The 17,137-nt window shown below is 39.2% G+C and overlaps 1 pseudogene, besides 1 other annotated feature; it reads left to right on the top strand.

Annotated features, from left to right (window-relative positions):
• Positions 13,591-14,790: an enhancer, noted in NCBI's record as "MED14-independent group 3 enhancer chr4:148381637-148382836 (GRCh37/hg19 assembly coordinates)". NCBI's record gives its function as "activates an origin of replication core promoter dependent on BRD2, BRD4, P300/CBP and CDK7 cofactors, and independent of MED14, by STARR-seq in HCT116 cells {active_cell/tissue: HCT116}" and the evidence as "EXISTENCE:reporter gene assay evidence [ECO:0000049][PMID:35650434]".
• On the top strand, positions 15,949-16,748 carry PRMT5P1 (protein arginine methyltransferase 5 pseudogene 1; annotated as a pseudogene).
• The last annotated feature ends 389 nt before the right edge of the window (positions 16,749-17,137 follow it).

Below are 17,137 nucleotides of genomic sequence, written 5' to 3'. Positions count from 1 at the left end.
TGTGAGAAAATAAACTTCTGTTGTTTAAATTGCCTGGTATAAGGTATTTTGTTATGGCAACTGACTAAGACACCAATTTTGCTTCTATTCGTAAATTTATTTCAATGTTTCTGATTGCTTATATGCATGTGGGTTTATTGAATTTCCTTTGAACTTTTAGTGGGAATGTTCCCTATGGCCATATTTCTTCTACAGACAGAATTATTTAGTTAGAAGGCCTTTTCCTCATCTGGATAGTTGCCAAAACATAACAATGCCAGTAGAATGATCCCTTTAAAATAATAATAATAAACACTGTTTTTACATTTACCACATGCAAACATGGTGTTGAGTGCTTTGTATGTGTTATCTCATGTAATTCATACAACAGTACTACAAATTACCGTTTTGACTCCCAGTTTACAGAAAAGAAAACTGAAGCCTAAAAAGGTTAGTTGACTTGCCCAAGGTTATAAACTTAGTGCCATGGTTTGAATGTGTCCCCTACAAAATTCATGTTGAAACCTAATCCCAACTGTGGTGGTATTAAAAGGTGAGGTATTTTGGGAAGTGATTTGGTCACGAGGGCTCTACTTTAATGAATGGATTAGTATTCTTCTAAAAGAGGTCAGAGTCAACTAGCCACAGCCCTTTTTAGCCCCTCCATCCCTTCTGCCATGTGAGGACAGAGCATTCATCTCCTCCAGGAAGATGCAGCAACAAGGCATCATCTTGGACACAGAGAGCAAGCCCTCCCTCTTGGATTTCTCAGCCTCCAGAACTGTGAGAAGTAAATTTCAGTTCTTTATGAATTGCCTAGTCTCATGTATTTTGTTATAGCAGCCAAATGGACTAAAACATTTACTAAGTAGCAGACAGGTGGAAATGATGTTTTTGGGCTGGAATGAACCTTAGCAATCATCTATACCAACTCCCTCATATTATGGAGAGGGACAGAGTGTAAGTGGATTAAGTTTCCCAGTGATGGCAATGGTTGCTTAGTAATTAAGGTTCCTAATATCTGGCAAGTACTCTAATAGTCCACTAACAAAACATCATGGAAAGTTATTGTGTTGTCTCCAGTTGCAGTAAATTTTCCATTGTATCATATTTAATTGACTCCTACCTACATTTGCCATTAGTCTCTTTTCCCATGCCACTTACTGCTGCCTCTTTGCTATCTTTTATTATGCTCCCAGGAAACTTCATCTGTTAATTCCATCTGCATTAGTCCATGTTAACCAAAGAGTGGAAATCTCATTTTCCTTCATTTTGTAGGCATATATTGTAATTCTTGCTCTTTTGAAGCTTCAAAATCTTCCTGCTGTGATGGCAGTAAATCTTTGAGCAGCAAGAAACTTAAAAATCTACAGACAGCTTACATTCTTTTTCTTTGGAAATAAAACATAAAGTAGTATCTGTGGCTAGCAGAAAGGCTTTATTATAAAATTAATTGCTCCATTTCAATTAATAGAAAAGATAAGAGAGGTTTTGTCTAGACATAGAGAAAATGAAATCCAATTAAATACATTAAGAAAATTATGTAGACACAAAAAATAAGTATAAGTGAAGGGAAAGAAAAGTCTCCAGGCAAAAAAATATCCAACTCTTTGATGTGTATTTTGCTGTTATTGATAGTATCTGTGGCTGTTAAATTGATTACAGCATGACCAGAGTGGGGTCATTCATGAGTCTGAGCCCTAGAGAGCCTATTAAACTTGTCTTTGTCATTGTTCTGGAGTTATATTGGCAAATGTTTTTTGGAAAGGACTGGATGTTAAGTATTTTTGGCTTTGAGGGCCATATGGTCTCTGTTGCAATGACCGAACATTGCCTTTGTACTCAAAAGCAGCAATAGAAAATACGCAAACAAATGACCGTGGCTATGTTTCAATAATACTTTATTTATAAAAAACAGATGACTGGCTGAGTTTGATCCATGTACTGTAGTTTGATGACCCCTAATAGTAAGGATCAAATATTAGTGGGCTAGCTTGCAGATAGACAACATCACTAAGAAAAACAAAAAGCCATTTATAATGTTCTTTGTGCTTCCTCTTGGGTGATGGTGGTGGTAGCAGTAGTGAATTCTTGTCTCACCAAAAAAATTTTACAGGTAGTGCATAGATATATTGTCACTTCAAACGATACAGTAGTATATAAAGATATTGTCTCTTAAAAAGCCTAAAAAATACAGAAATATATAAAGTAAAACATAAAAGGGCTTCCCCATCATATTCTTTGATTTTACCCCCCTCTCTTCAGGTTGTAGCTTTTAACCATTTAGCGCTTATTCTTCCAATCCTTCTTCTACTAATTTAGAAATATACATACACACATCTTTATACCTACACACATATACACATATACTTTTTCACTTTTTTGTTTGCTTATTTTACATAAATGGGATAATATTATATCTTATGTAATGCAGTATGTGAATTGCTTTTCTATATAACTATATATCTTAGCAATTTTTTTATTTCACAGATACATAATTCTATTAAACAGTACTTTGTATTATAGATGTACCATAATTTGTTTAATCTATCCCCTGCTCATGGATGTTTAGGTTCTTTACAGTTTTTTCCTTTTATAAACATGGTTTTAATGAACAACTCTGTATATTTCTTACTGTAAAAGAATATACAGTGGTACGTTTGTATATTATGTGTAGGTTATTCCTCTAGGATTGCTAGTTTTGAGTGGCAGTTGCTGTCTTCAAAGAAGGAATGATTGATTCACCTTAGAAAATGGTAAGCTCTAAATACGAGATAACAGCTGACAGGATTCGGAGGTGAGACTGAAGATAAAACTTCTCACCATCATGGTGAGAAGCCCCTGTTCCAAATGAACACTGTCTGTGGCTATAACTTTTAAAGTAATGGAGAATCTGGTCTTCTAATGTAGGAGTCCATTCAGTAAGAAAAAGTTTTTTTTATAAGTGTTTATAGCATATCACAATTAAAAGAGAACTAGAATGAAAATTAGGGAATTCAAATTCTAGTTCACTCCTACTGTTAAGTAGCTGTGTAATCTCTGGCAAGTTCCTTTGACTTTTTGAGTCTCAGTTTCATCACATGTAAGGGGAATTTGTAAGATTAAATGAACTAAAAGCATTTTCATGATTTGTGATTTTACGGTTTATTTCTCATGGCAGTTCTCTTACAATGGTTTTAAGATCAAAGTAAATGTTTTGAATATAAAAATAGGCATTTAGGATATAAAATTGACTTTATATTTAGAAAATAAAATACCATTGCTTATCATTGATCAGGATGTGGTGAAAGAAAAGTTTTAGGATGATTAATTTGGCAGAAGTGTTTTATACACCTGAATAGAAGTTAGAGGTAAGGGTGGAGCCAAGATGGCCGAATAGGAACAGCTGCAGTCTACAGCTCCCAGCATGAGCGACACAGAAGACAGGTGATTTCTGCATTTCCAATTGAGGCACTGGGTTCATCTCACTGGGGAGTGCTGGACAGTGGGTGCAGGACAGTGGGTGCAGCGCACCATGCGTGAGCCGAAGCAGGGCAAGGCATCGCCTCACCCGGGAAGCACAAGGGGTCAGGGAATTCCCTTTCCTAGTCAAAGAAAGAAGTGACCCAATGGAAAATCGGGTCACTCCCACCCTAATACTGTGCTTTGCCAATGGGCTTAACAAACGGCACACCAGGAGATTATATCCCGTGCATGGCTTTGGAGGGTCCTAAGCCCATGGAGCCTCGCTCATTGCAAGCACAGCAGTCTGAGATCAAACTGCAAGGCGGCAGTGAGGCTGGGGGAGGGACGCCCGCCATTGCCGAGGCTTGAGTAGGTAAACAAAGTGGCCAGGAAGCTCGAACTGGGTGGAGCCTACCACAGCTCAAGGAGGCCTGCCTGCCTCTGTAGGCTCCACTTCTGGGGGGAGGGCACAGACAAACAAAAGGCAGCAGTAACCTCTGCAGACTTAAATGTCCCTGTCTGACAGCTTTGAAGAGAGTAGTGGTTCTCACAGCACGCAGCTTGAGATCTGAGAATGGGCAGACTGCCTCCACAAGTGGGTCCCTGACCCCCGAGTAGCCTAACTGGGAGGCACCCCCCAGCAGGGGCGGACTGACACCTCACATGGCTGGGTACCCCTCTGAGACAAAACTTCCAGAGGAATGATCAGGCAGCAGCATTTGCGGTTCACCAATATCCGCTGTTCTGCAGCCACCGCTGCTGATACCCAGGCAAACAGCGTCTGGAGTGGACCTCCAGCAAACTCCAACAGACCTGCAGCTGAGGGTCCTGACTGTTAGAAGGAAAACTAACAAACAGAAAGGACATCCACACCAAAACCCCATCTGTACGTCACCATCATCAAAGACCAAATGTAGATAAAACCACAAAGATGGGGAAAAAACAGAACAGAAAAACCAGAAACTCTAAAAATGAGAGCACCTCTTCTCCTCCAAAGGAATGCAGCTCCTCACAAGCAACGGAACAAAGCTGGATGGAGAATGACTTTGATGAGTTGAGAGAAGAAGGCTTCAGAAGATCAAACTACTCTGAGCTAAAGGAGGAAGTTCGAACCAATGGCAAAGAACTTAAAAACCTTGAAAAAAATTAGACGAATGGCTAACTAGAATAAACAATGCAGAGAAGTCCTTAAAGGACCTGACGGACATGAAAATCATGGCACGAGAACTACGTGAAGAATGCAGAAGCCTCAGTAGCCGATGCGATCAACTGGAAGAAAGGGTATCAGTTGATGGAAGACGAAATGAGTGAAATGAAGCGAGAAGAGAAGTTTAGAGAAAAAAGAATAAAAAAACGAACAAAGCCTCCAAGAAATATGGGACTATGTGAAAAGACCAAATCTACGTCTGATTGGTGTACCTGAAAGTGACAGGGAGAATGGAACCAAGTTGGAAAACACTCTGCAGGATATTATCTAGGAGAACTTCCCCAATCTAGCATGGCAGGACAACATTGAAATTCAGGAAATACAGAGAACACCACAAAGATACTCCTGAGAAGAGCAACTCCAAGACACATAATTGTCAGATTCACCAAAGTTGAAATGAAGGAAAAAATGTTAAGGGCAGCCAGAGAGAAAGGTCAGGTTACCCACAAAGGGAAGCCCATCAGACTAACAGCTGATCTCTCGGCAGAAACTCTACAAGTCAGAAGAGAGTGGGGGCCAATATTCAACATTCTTAAAGAAAAGAATTTTCAACCCAGAATTTCATATCCAGCCAAACTAAGCTTCATAAGTGAAGGAGAAATAAAATCCTTTACAGACAAGCAAATGCCGAGAGATTTTGTCACCACCAGGCCTGCCCTAAAAGAGCACATGAAGGAAGCACTACACATGGAAAGGAACAACCGGTACCAGCCACTGCAAATACATGCCAAATTGTAAAGACCGTCAAGGCTAGGAAGAAACTGCATTAATTAATGAGCAAAATAACCACCTAACATCATAATGACAGGATCAAATTCACACATAACAATATTAACCTTAAATGTAAATGGGCTAAATGCTCCAATTAAAAGACACAGACTGGCAAATTGGATAAAGAGTCAAGACCCATCAGTGTGCTATATTTAGGAAACCCATCTCATGTGCAGAGACACACATAGGCTCAAAATAAAGGGATGGAGGAAGATCTACCAAGCAAATGGAAAACAAAAAAAGGTAGGGGTTGCAATCCTAGTCTCAGATAAAACAGACTGTAAACCAACAAAGATCAAAAGAGACACAGAAGGCCATTACATAATGTTAAAGGGATCAATTCAATAAGAAGAGCTAACTATCCTAAATATATATGCACCCAATACAGGAGCATCCAGATTCATAAAGCAAGTCCTTAGTGACCTAGAAAGAAACTTAGACTCCCACACAATAATAATGGGAGACTTTAACACCCCACTGTCAACATTAGACAGATCAATGAGACAGAAAGTTAACAAGGATATCCAGGAATTCAACTCAGCTCTGCACCAAGCAGACCTAATAGACATCTACAGAACTCTCCACCCCAAATCAACAGAATATACATTCTTTTCAGCACCACACCACACCTATTCCAAAATTGACCGCATAGTTGGAAGTAAAGCACTCCTCAGCAAATGTAAAAGAACAGAAATTATACCAAACTTTCAGACCACAGTGCAATCAAACTAGGACTCAGGATTAAGAAAGTCACTCAAAAGACTGCTCAACTACATGGAAACTGAACAACCTGTTTCTGAATGACTACTGGGTACGTAGCAAAATGAAGGCAGAAATAAAGATGTTCTTTGAAACCAATGAGAACAAAGACACAACATACCAGAATCTCTGGGACACATTCAAAGTAGTGTGTAGAGGGAAATTTATAGCACTAAATGCCCACAAGAGTGAGCAGGAAAGATCTAAAATTGACACCCTAACATCACAATTAAAAGAACTAGAGAAGCAAGAGCAAACACATTCAAAAGCTAGCAGAAGGCAAGAAATAACTAAGATCAGAACAGAACTGAAGGAAATAGAGACACAAAAAACCCTTCAAAAAATCAGTGAATCCAGGAGCTGGTTTTTTGAAAAGATCAACAAAATTGATAGACTGCTAGCAAGACTAATAAAGAAATCTAGAAGAAATGGATAAATTCCTCGACACATACACTCTCCCAAGACTAAACCAGGAAAAAGTTGAATCTCTGAAAAGACCAGTAACAGGCTCTGAAATTGAGGCAATAATTAATAGCTTACCAACCAAAAAAAGTCCAGGACCAGATGGATTCACAGCCGAATTCTACCAGAGGTACAAGGAGGAACTGGTACCATTCCTTCTGAAACTATTCCAATCAATAGAAAAAGAGGGAATCCTCCCTAACTCATTTTATGAGGCCAGCATCATCCTGATACCAAAGCTGGGCAGAGACACAACCAAAAAAGAGAATTTTAGACCAATATCCTTGATGAACATTGATGCAAAAATCCTCAATAAAATACTGGCAAACCGAATCCAGCAGCACATCAAAAAGCTTATCCACCATGATCAAGTGGGCTTCATCCCTGGGATGCAAGGCTGGTTCAACATAAGCAAATCAATAAATGTAATCCAGCATATAAACAGAATGAAAGACAAAAACCACATGATTATCTCAATAGATGCAGAAAAGGCCTTTGACAAAATTCAACAATGCTTCATGCTAAAAATTCTCAATAAATTAGTCATTGATGGGACATATCTCAAAATAATAAGAGCTGTCTATGACAAACCCACAGCCAATATCATACTGAATGGACAAAAACTGGAAGCATTCCCTTTGAAAACTGGCACAAGACAGGGATGCCCTCTCTCACCACTCCTATTCAACATAGTGTTGGAAGTTCTGGCCAGGGCAATCAGGCAGGAGAAGGAAATAAAGGGCATTCAATTAGGAAAAGAGGAAGTCAAATTGTCCCTGTTTGCAGATGACATGATTGTATATCTAGAAAACCCCATCATCTCAGCCCAAAATCTCCTTAAGCTGATAAGCAACTTCAGCAAAGTCTCAGGATACAAAATCAACGTACAAAAATCACAAGCATTCTTATACACCAATAACAGACAAACAGAGAGCCAAATCATGAGTGAACTCTCATTCACAATTGCTTCAAAGAGAATAAAATACCTAGGAATCCAACTTACAAGGGATGTGAAGGACCACTTCAAGGAGAACTACAAATCACTGCTCAATGAAATAAAAGAGGATACAAACAAATGGAAGAACATTCCATGCTCATGGGTAGGAAGAATCAATATCGAGAAAATGGCCATACTTCCCAAGGTAATTTACAGATTCAATGCCATCCCCATCAAGCTACCAATGACTTTCTTCACAGAATTGGAAAAAACTACTTTAAAGTTCATATGGAACCAAAAAAGAGCCCGCATCACCAAGTCGGTCCTAAGCCAAAAGAACAAAGCTGGAGGCATCACGCTACCTGACTTCCAACTATACTACAAGGCTACAGTAACCAAAACAGCATGATACTGGTACCAAAACAGAGATATAGATCAATGGAACAGAACAGAGCCCTCAGAAATAATGCCACATATCTACAACTATCTGATCTTTGACAAACCTGAGAAAAACAAGCAATGGGGAAAGGATTCCCTATTTAATAAATGGTGCTGGGAAAACTGGCTAGCCATATGTAGAAAGCTGAAACTGGATCCCTTCCTTACACCTTATACAAAAATTAATTCAAGACGGATTAAAGACTTACATGTTAGACCTAAAACCATAAAAATCCTGGAAGGAAACCTAGGCAATACCATTCAGGACACAGGCATGGGCAAGGACTTCATGTCTAAAACACCAAAAGCAATGGCAACAGAAGACAAAATTGACAAATGGGATCTAATTAAACTAAAGAGCTTCTGCACAGCAAAAGAAACTACCATCAGAGTGAACAGGCAACTTACAAAATGGGAGAAAATTTTTGCAACCTACTTATCTGACAAAGGGCTAATATCCAGAATCTACAATGAACTCAAACAAATTTCCAAGAAAAAAACAAACAACCCCATCAAAAAGTGTGCGAAGGATATGAACAGACACTTCTCAAAAGAAGATATTTATGCAGCCAAAAAACACATGAAAAATTGCTCACCATCACTGGCCATCAGAGAAATGCAAATCAAAACCACAATGAGATACCATCTCACACCAGTTAGAATGGCAATCATTAAAAAGTCAGGAAACAACAGATGCTGGAGAGGATGTGGAGAAATAGGAACACTTATACACTGTTGGTGGGACTGTAAACTAGTTCCACCATTGTGGAAGTCAGTGTGGCCATTCCTCAGGGATCTAGAACTAGAAATACCATTTGACCCAGCCGTCCCATTACTGGGTATATACCCAAAGGATTATAAATCATGCTGCTATAAAGACACATGCACACATATGTTTATTGTGGCACTATTCACAATAGCAAAGACTTGGAACCAACCCAAATATCCAACAATGATAGACTGGATTAAGAAAATGTGGCACATATACACCATGGAATACTATGCAGCCATAAAAAATGATGAGTTCCTGTCCTTTGTAGGGACATGGATGAAGCTGGAAACCATCATTCTCAGCAAACTATCGCAAGGACAAAAAACCAAACACCGCATGTTCTTACTCATAGGTGGGAATTGAACAATGAGAACACATGGACACAGGAAGGGGAACATTACACACCGGGGACTGTTGTGGGGTGGGGGGAGGGGGGAGGGATAGCATAAGCAGATATACCTAATGTAAATGACGAGTTAATGGGTACAGCACACCAACATGGCACATGTATACATATGTAACAAACCTACACATTGTGCACATGTACCCTAAAATTTAAAGTATAATAATAATAAAAAAATAAAAAAAAGAAGTTAGAGGTAAAAAGATAAGTTGGTGAGTTATTCTAATATGGAGCATAAGGGTGAGGATAATGTGATGATGCATACTGCTTTAGTGGTTGGGGTAAAGTTTAAGGTACAAATCCTAAAGATGTTTATAATGAAGAAGATCAATGTAGCAGCTAGCCTATGCTGTATAACAACCCCCCACACCCCCAGAAATATTGGCTTAAAACAGCAATGGTTTATTAGCTCATGATTTTATGGGTGAATGATTTGGGCTAGGCTCAGCTAGGTGGTTTTTTGCTGGTCTTAGCTGGGCTCATTCATGCAATGAGGTTTCCTTATGTACTTGCAATCAGCTAGCATTTGATGGCTTCACTTATTTCTCTGGCTCTTGGCTAGCGTAGGGGAGTAACGGGGCAATGTATCTTTCATTATTCAGCAGGCTAGCTTGGCTCTTTCCCCTGGTGGCACCAGAGTTCCACATGCAGCAGGAGAGGTCAAGTTCCAGTGTTCACATACCCTTCAAATGTCTGAATGCATCTTATTTGCCATTATTCCATTGGCCAAAGCAAGCAACATGTTGAAGTCCAAAAACAGTATTGGAGGGCACTAAACAAGGACAGAGAGAGAGGCAATTATTGCAGCCATTTTTGCAAACGATCTAATGCAACAAATAATTTTTTTAGGGGGGCAGGTTGAACCTAGGGGATATAGTGAGAAGAGTCAAAAGATGACTCTAAAATTTCCTAGAGGGAGTTCAAAATAGTTCAAAATTCCTTGAGTAGATACTGTGTACCAGGCACTGTGCTAGGTATAGAAATAAAAAAAAAAGAGTAAGACTTGACCCTATTCTAAAGAAGCATAGAGTCTAATGGGGGAAAGACGTGTGAACTGCTTAAAAACAAATTACTAAATGTTAGCATAGAGTTGTCTGCTAGATAGGAGGTGAGAAAATATTTTCTGTAAAGGACTGTCTAGTAAATATTTTTGTCTTTGTATATCATCCAGTCTTTGTCAAAACTACTGTACTGTGCTGTCATAGCACAAAAGGAATCATAGACAATATGTAAAAAAGTGGCTGGGTAAGAAAAATGGACAGCAAAAGAAGTTTGAAAGGAAGCCAGATTTGGAAGGAGTGCAAAAGGGGTTTATGTGGGAAGGAGAGCAATTCAATTTTGAAGCCGTTTGAAAACATTCCAGTGGAGATGGCTGATATCTGATGGCATATGGCACTGTAGGCCTAGGTGAAGACTTCAGGTTTGAAATATGAGAGTGTAGTAATTAGTAACTGCAGCCAGGAGTTGGATGCATTTGATTTAGGGACAGAATCTGAAAAAGAAAAGGTCAAAGAGACCAGGACAAATCTCATAGAAGGCATGCAGTTAGGATAAGCAATGACTAGAAGCTTATCAAAAAGAGATGGAAACGTCAGAGAAAGAGTCAGGGAAGGGTAATGTCTGCAACACTAATAAAGAGGAGAGGCTCAGGAATGAATGGGTGGCCGGGAGAGGGCAAAGGTCACGAAGAGTGAGGACAGGCCATGGAGGGGCGATGAAGGGTATTGTTCTAAGGGTGTCAAGCCTCGCCTTTAGGCAAATTCTTCTTTCTGACACACATTGAAAACAACTTAGTAATTAGAAACAGTGCAAAAAACATGCAGAAACATTGCTTATCAGTGAGAATAACTCTTTCTGCTAAATTTTTTTTTAACTTATTTTATTGTGTAATAAGTGGACAATTTACAGTTGTATAAATTTATGGGATACAAGGTGATATTATCATTTATGAATGCAATGTGAAAGAATTAAATCAAGCTAGTTAGTGTATCTATCACCTCAAGTACTTAACATTTTTATGATGAGAACATTTGAAATGTAGTCTTAGCAATTTTGAAATATAAAATACTCTATTATTAACTATAGTCACCATGCTGTTCAATAGAACTCAAAAAATCTCCATATTCCTCCTCTTTAACTGAGACTTCGTATGCATTGACTGTCATCATTCCATTCCCCCCTAAGGCCCTAGCCTTTGTAACCACCATTCTACTCTCTGCTTCGATTGTTTTAGATTCCACATATAAGTAACAATGTTAGGTAGTTGTCTTTCTGTGCCTGGCTTATTTTACTTAGCATAATGTTCTCATTCCATCCATTTTGTTGCAAATGATAAAATTTCTTTTTTTTTTTTTTTTTGAGACAGAATCTTGCTCTGTCACCCAGGCTGGAGTGCAGTGGCACAATCTCGGCTCATTACAACCTCTGCCTCCCAGATTCAAGTGATTCTCCTGCCTCAGCCTCCCAAGTGGCTGGGATTACAGGTGCCCACCACGATGCCCGGCTAATTTTTGTAATTTTTAGTAGAGATGGGGTTTTACCATGTTGGCCAGGCTGGTCTTGAACTCCTGACCTCAAGTGATCTGCCTGCCTCCGCCTCCCAAAGTGCTGGGATTACAGATGTAAGCCACTGTGCCTGGCTATTTTCTTTGTAAGAGCTGAATAATATTTCTTTATGTTTATATACCACATATTCTTTATTTATGCGTTGATGGACACTGCAGTTTGTTGCATTTCTTGGCTGTTATGAATAGTGCTGCAATAAACATGGGAATGCAGACATCTCTCTGACCAACGGATTTCAAGTCTTTGGGTAAATACTCAGAAGTTGGGATTGCTGGGTCATACGGTAATTCTATTTTTAGTTTTTCTATTTGTGGAAGAAAAATCAACACCATCTATTGTTAGCATGTGCTACATTAGACTTTTTCAAGACTTCTTGGTAACTTCTGGAAAAGAAATTTTCTTAGGAAGCAATTCTAATTATATTTTTATATGGCGGTGAAAAAGAAAGCAGTAAAGTTGTGAGATAAAGCTTGAAGCAGTGCTTTTTTTCTAATTTCTAATTTATATTTTTAAAATTTGAAGATGTTTTTCATTACCTTAGCTGAATTCTGAGTTTAAAAAGCAATAATAGCCGGGCCTGGTGGCTCACGCCTGTAATTCCAGGCATGAGAGACCTTTGAGAGGCCAAGGTGGGAGAATCTCTTGAGCCCAGGAGTTGGAGACTAGCCTGGGAAACATAAGGAGACCCTATCTCTATAAAAAGTTTAAAAAATTAGCTGGGTATGGTGGCATGTACCTGTGGTCCCAGCTACTTGGGAGGGAGGATTGTTTAAGCTTAGGAGTTTGGGGCTGTAGTGAGCCATGATTGCACTACTGCACTCAAGCCTGGGTAACAGAGCAAGACCCTGTCTCAAAAAATAAAAATATTTTTAAAAATTTTAGAAAGGCTATAATTGAGACTTTCAGCTCTTAATGTAATTTTCAGTAATGTAAGTTTAAATAATGTCTAATGAAGAGTGTGTTCTGTAGCAAAGACTTACAATTTTTTTCATCATTGTCAACCAAGGCTTTAAGACTACAGTTCTGAAATAGATGGGTTTTGTGCTGTAGAGAATTTTGAATCAAGATTTCAGAATTGTGTTCTTATTGTACCATCTCCAGCAACTCAGCCATCTTCCATGGATATCCAGTGTTCTTCTCAGGCATTCTTTTTGTCCTTCAGTTGGAAGACTGAGAGGTAGCCTTGCCTAAAGGATGATGGATAGATTAGATGGTATCCCAAGGACCTTTGTCTACAGCTTTCTGACTGAATATATTCGGGAGGGCGTCTGTATTAGTATGCAAGGGCTGCTGTAACAAAATACCAGACTGGGTGGCTTGAACAACAGAAATTGATTGTCTCACAGTTCTGAAGGCTGGAAGTCTGAGACCAAGGTGTCCCCAAGTTTGGTTTCTTCTGAGGCCTTTCTCTGTGCCTTGCAGATGGTTGTCTTCTTCCTGTGTCCTCACATGGTCTTTTCTCTGTGAGCATGCATGTCTATCCTGTGAGTGTCTGCGTCCTAACCTCCTCTTCTTTGAAGGACACCAGTCATATTGGATAGGGCCCACTTATAGCCTCATTTTACCTCAGTTACCTCTTTAAAGGCCCTATTTCCAAATATGGTCACATTCTGAGGTCCTGGGGGTTAGGAATACAATATATAAATTTTGGGGGACATAATTCAGCCCTTAATAACATCTACACTTGCTTTCTATGGCTTGAAATGACATTTTGCAGACATTTTTGTACACACCGCTCTGCTCTGGGCTCCGTAGCTTTGTTCCAACTTGCTGCCTCATGAATTGCCCTTTGGGCTTGAAAGAATTAAAAAATGTTCACAGTTTGCTTTATATGCTTCATAAAGGTATATATTTCTGTGGAAGTACTGTAAAAATTATAGACATCATGACATTCACCCCTAAGTAGTTCATTATATATCTCTAAAATATAACAACATTTTCCTACTTAATTTATTTGTGATTCTATTCAATGTTTATTTCTTCTCAAACTGAATTCAATTTTGATATTTTCTGGAAGCATTTATTTTTTGCTCTTTCTTAATCAAATGTGCATAATATCTTCTAGGTTGGTGTTTTATCAACATTTTATAATTCCTAAAGCATTCTGCAGTTAAATCACATTAGGAAATGCTGATATGGGTGAGTCTTGAGGATGTGGTTATGCGTTACTACTCATCATTTTAGTGATGCTATGTTGATGTTAGTCACTCCAGGTAAGGTTTACTCATGCTACAGTTTGTAATTTCTGTCTGCATGAGACTTAAAAAAATCATGCCTTGAAGATACTAAAAAAGTATCATGTCTTGAAAATACTAAAGTTTTAGATGTTGTTTTAAACCAAATTATTGAAGATACTGAAGTTTTAGACATGGTTTTAAACAAAATTCTAAACTCTTTTATGTGAAGCCCTAACCTGCTTTATTTATTGGAGATGTTCTCTTTTTTTTTTTTTAGTTCTGGTTGTGGTAGTGTTTCTCAAGAATATTTATTTTCTTTATCCTTAATACCTCATAGGAATTAACTTGAAAGTTCATATGAGAGACTCTATTCCCATTCCCTCTTTCTATCTTTATTCAAAGCCAGTTCCAGAATTCATAGAGCCGCTATGATATTAGCTTCTTAGTCCATTTGGGTTGCTCTCACGAAGTACCATAAACTGGGTAACTTGTAAAAACAGAAATTTATTTTTCATAGTTTTAGAGGCTGGGAAGTTCATGATGAAGGCACTGGCAGATTTGGTGTCTGGTGAGGTGTTTGGTTCCTGGTTCACAGATGCTGCCTTCTCTCTGGGTCCTCACATGGCGGAAGGGACAGCCAAGCTCCCTCAGGCCTCTTTTATAAGGGTGCTAATCCCATTCGTGAGCAGTCCACTCTCATGACCTAATCACCTCCCAAAAGGCGCCCCCCACCCTCCGACTCCTAATACCATCACCTTGGGGTGAGAATTTCAACATATGAATTCTGGGGAGACACCAACATTCAGACTGTAATGGCTTGTATCTACACCCCCATTCCAGAACCCTGCAAGGATATTCACTTTCTTCCACCCTGAACTACATTAAACTAAAACTTCTGGTGGTATCATCTCTCCATCAGCATTGCAAATTGAAATTCTACTTGATTGTATTTATTATTTAATATAGGTAAGTCTCACCCTTGAGCCTGCATGCTCTTTGAGTTGAGTCAGAAAAATATATTTGATAGCTTTCATGCAAGTTTCACCCTCTCTTCCCTCCAAGCCTTCACATATTCCACTAGCTCTGACCAGAATACCCTCCCAATTCCTTTTCAGAAACACTCTCATTGTTATATCACAACCTGAGTCACCTCACTAGTGGGCTATCTTCAGATTTGGCTGGTTGAGTCCACTTACACTCATCTCTCTAGGGGTTAGACTATATCCATTCTCTCTCTTCTAGATTACTTAAATGATTGTCAAATTATGTTCTTTTTTATTTTCCTTATTTGGATTTTATAATGGAAACACATATTATAGGTATAATCTTTGGTCCCACAAATTTTAAAAGCCATGTATAGCATGCTGGCCACCTTAGGATAGAATATTCCGCAGTATGAACTGAATTTTTTTATAGTAGTTTGCATCTAGTTCACTTAATTTTTTCAAAATGCAATTATAGCCAACATTTTTAGTTTCATACTATTCCTGTGAGAAAGGTAGAAGAGGTATAGGCATATCCCATTTCCTTACCAGTTTCTCTGAAAAGTGCATCATAAAGTGAAACATTGTAAGGAGATCCTACTTTCCTGAAGGGTCAATGTTAATTTGAGAGCTATGTACTTTAGGAAAAGCTCCCACTTACCTTAGAGCTATTCTAAAACAACATAGTGGGTGCCCAATGACAAACCTGGCAAAATGCTTTCACATATTTCTTCTCATTGACAGTGTTCTTTAAAATAAAGGACCAACCCAAAGAGTGTTACCTTTATCCTCTCCAGCATCCTCAATTCATTCAAAGGTACAAAAGTAGTTGCCTAATAGCAGATAGATGGAAGATTCCTGTCCTTCAAAGATATTGGACCTCCAGACACTTTGTTGACAGATATCAGATACCAGAATTCCTCACACTCAATGATAACCTGTAAGTTGCATTACTAGGGTATAAGACCAGAGTTTTAAAATGAAACATTATTATAATAGTGCTACAATTGGAATAAGGTACTATCTTAATTTAAGAATATAGACAGTTTTTGCTTGTTTGTTGACAATGAATTGTCCCCTGAGTGCCTGCATGGAGCCCAGCACTTCCTAAAACATGAAGGCGTGCGCATCCCCGGGGAATACACTTCCTTCCTGGCTCCCATCTCCTCCTCCAAGCTGTACAATGAGGTCTGAGCCTGTAGGGAGAAGATCTGTGACCCTGAGGCCTAGTTTGAGATGCCTTATGTGGTACGACTGCACAACCTCCACCAGCTGTCTGCATCCCAGCCCTGTTTCACCTTCAGCCATCCCAACACAGATCCTACGATTGACAACAACTGCTACTGGACCTTGGAGTTTCCCGTGGAGGTGAATACAGTACTGCATGGCTTTGCAGGATACGTTAAGATGCTTTATCAGTACATCACTCTGAGTATCTGTCCAGACAGAGACTCACTCTCCTGGGATGTTCTCATGGTTTCCCATCCTCTTCCCTATTAAGCAGCCCATAATGGTGCGTGAAGGCCAGACCATCTGTGTGCATTTCTGGTGAGGCAGCAATTCTAAGAAGGTGTGGTATCAGTGGGCTATGACAGCACCAGTCTGTTCTGCTGTTCACAATCCCACAGCCTGCTTATATACCATTGGCCTCTAGCCCTGTGTGCAAGTGTCCAGAGCCTTGGAAGCAGCTTCAGGTTCTGCTTCTGTAGCACAGAAGATGTAGTACATTTATGGGCTGTGATTCCCCTTGCCCACCAAAGAGGAGCATTTCAATCTGCTTTCCTGCCTTATATCAAGGTGGGCAAGGGATTATAATTAATTGCAGGGCTCAAGCCACCAGTCTTTGAAGACCTCAGGCCAGGTGTTGAGGAATTAGTGCTGGATTTGAAGCTGTGCACTCAGCCTCAAGAGCTCCCTGGAATATGCCTGAGAACATGGGGTTTGAACAGATTTTCATCCCTTCTCTGTTCTTGTTTTGATGGTTTTGTGTAAGAGGAAATACAAATAAAGTTACAGCCCTTTCCTGCACTAAAAAAAAGAATATAGGCACAAAATTATTTATTTATTTAATTTTTTAAAATTTTACTTTAAGATCTGGGATACATGTGCAGAATGTGCAGGTTTGTTGCATAGGTATACAGGTGCCATGGTGGTTTGCTGCACCTATCAACCCATCATCTAGGTTTTAAGCATGGCATGATTAAGTATTTGTCCTAATACTCTCCGTCCCCTTGCCCCCA

The sequence above is a fragment of the Homo sapiens genome, chromosome 4 (assembly GCF_000001405.40).
Source record: "Homo sapiens chromosome 4, GRCh38.p14 Primary Assembly".
Classification (NCBI taxonomy): Eukaryota; Metazoa; Chordata; class Mammalia; order Primates; family Hominidae; genus Homo; species Homo sapiens.
Note: the sequence above shows the minus strand (reverse complement) of the source record. Positions and strands in the feature narration are given on the sequence as shown.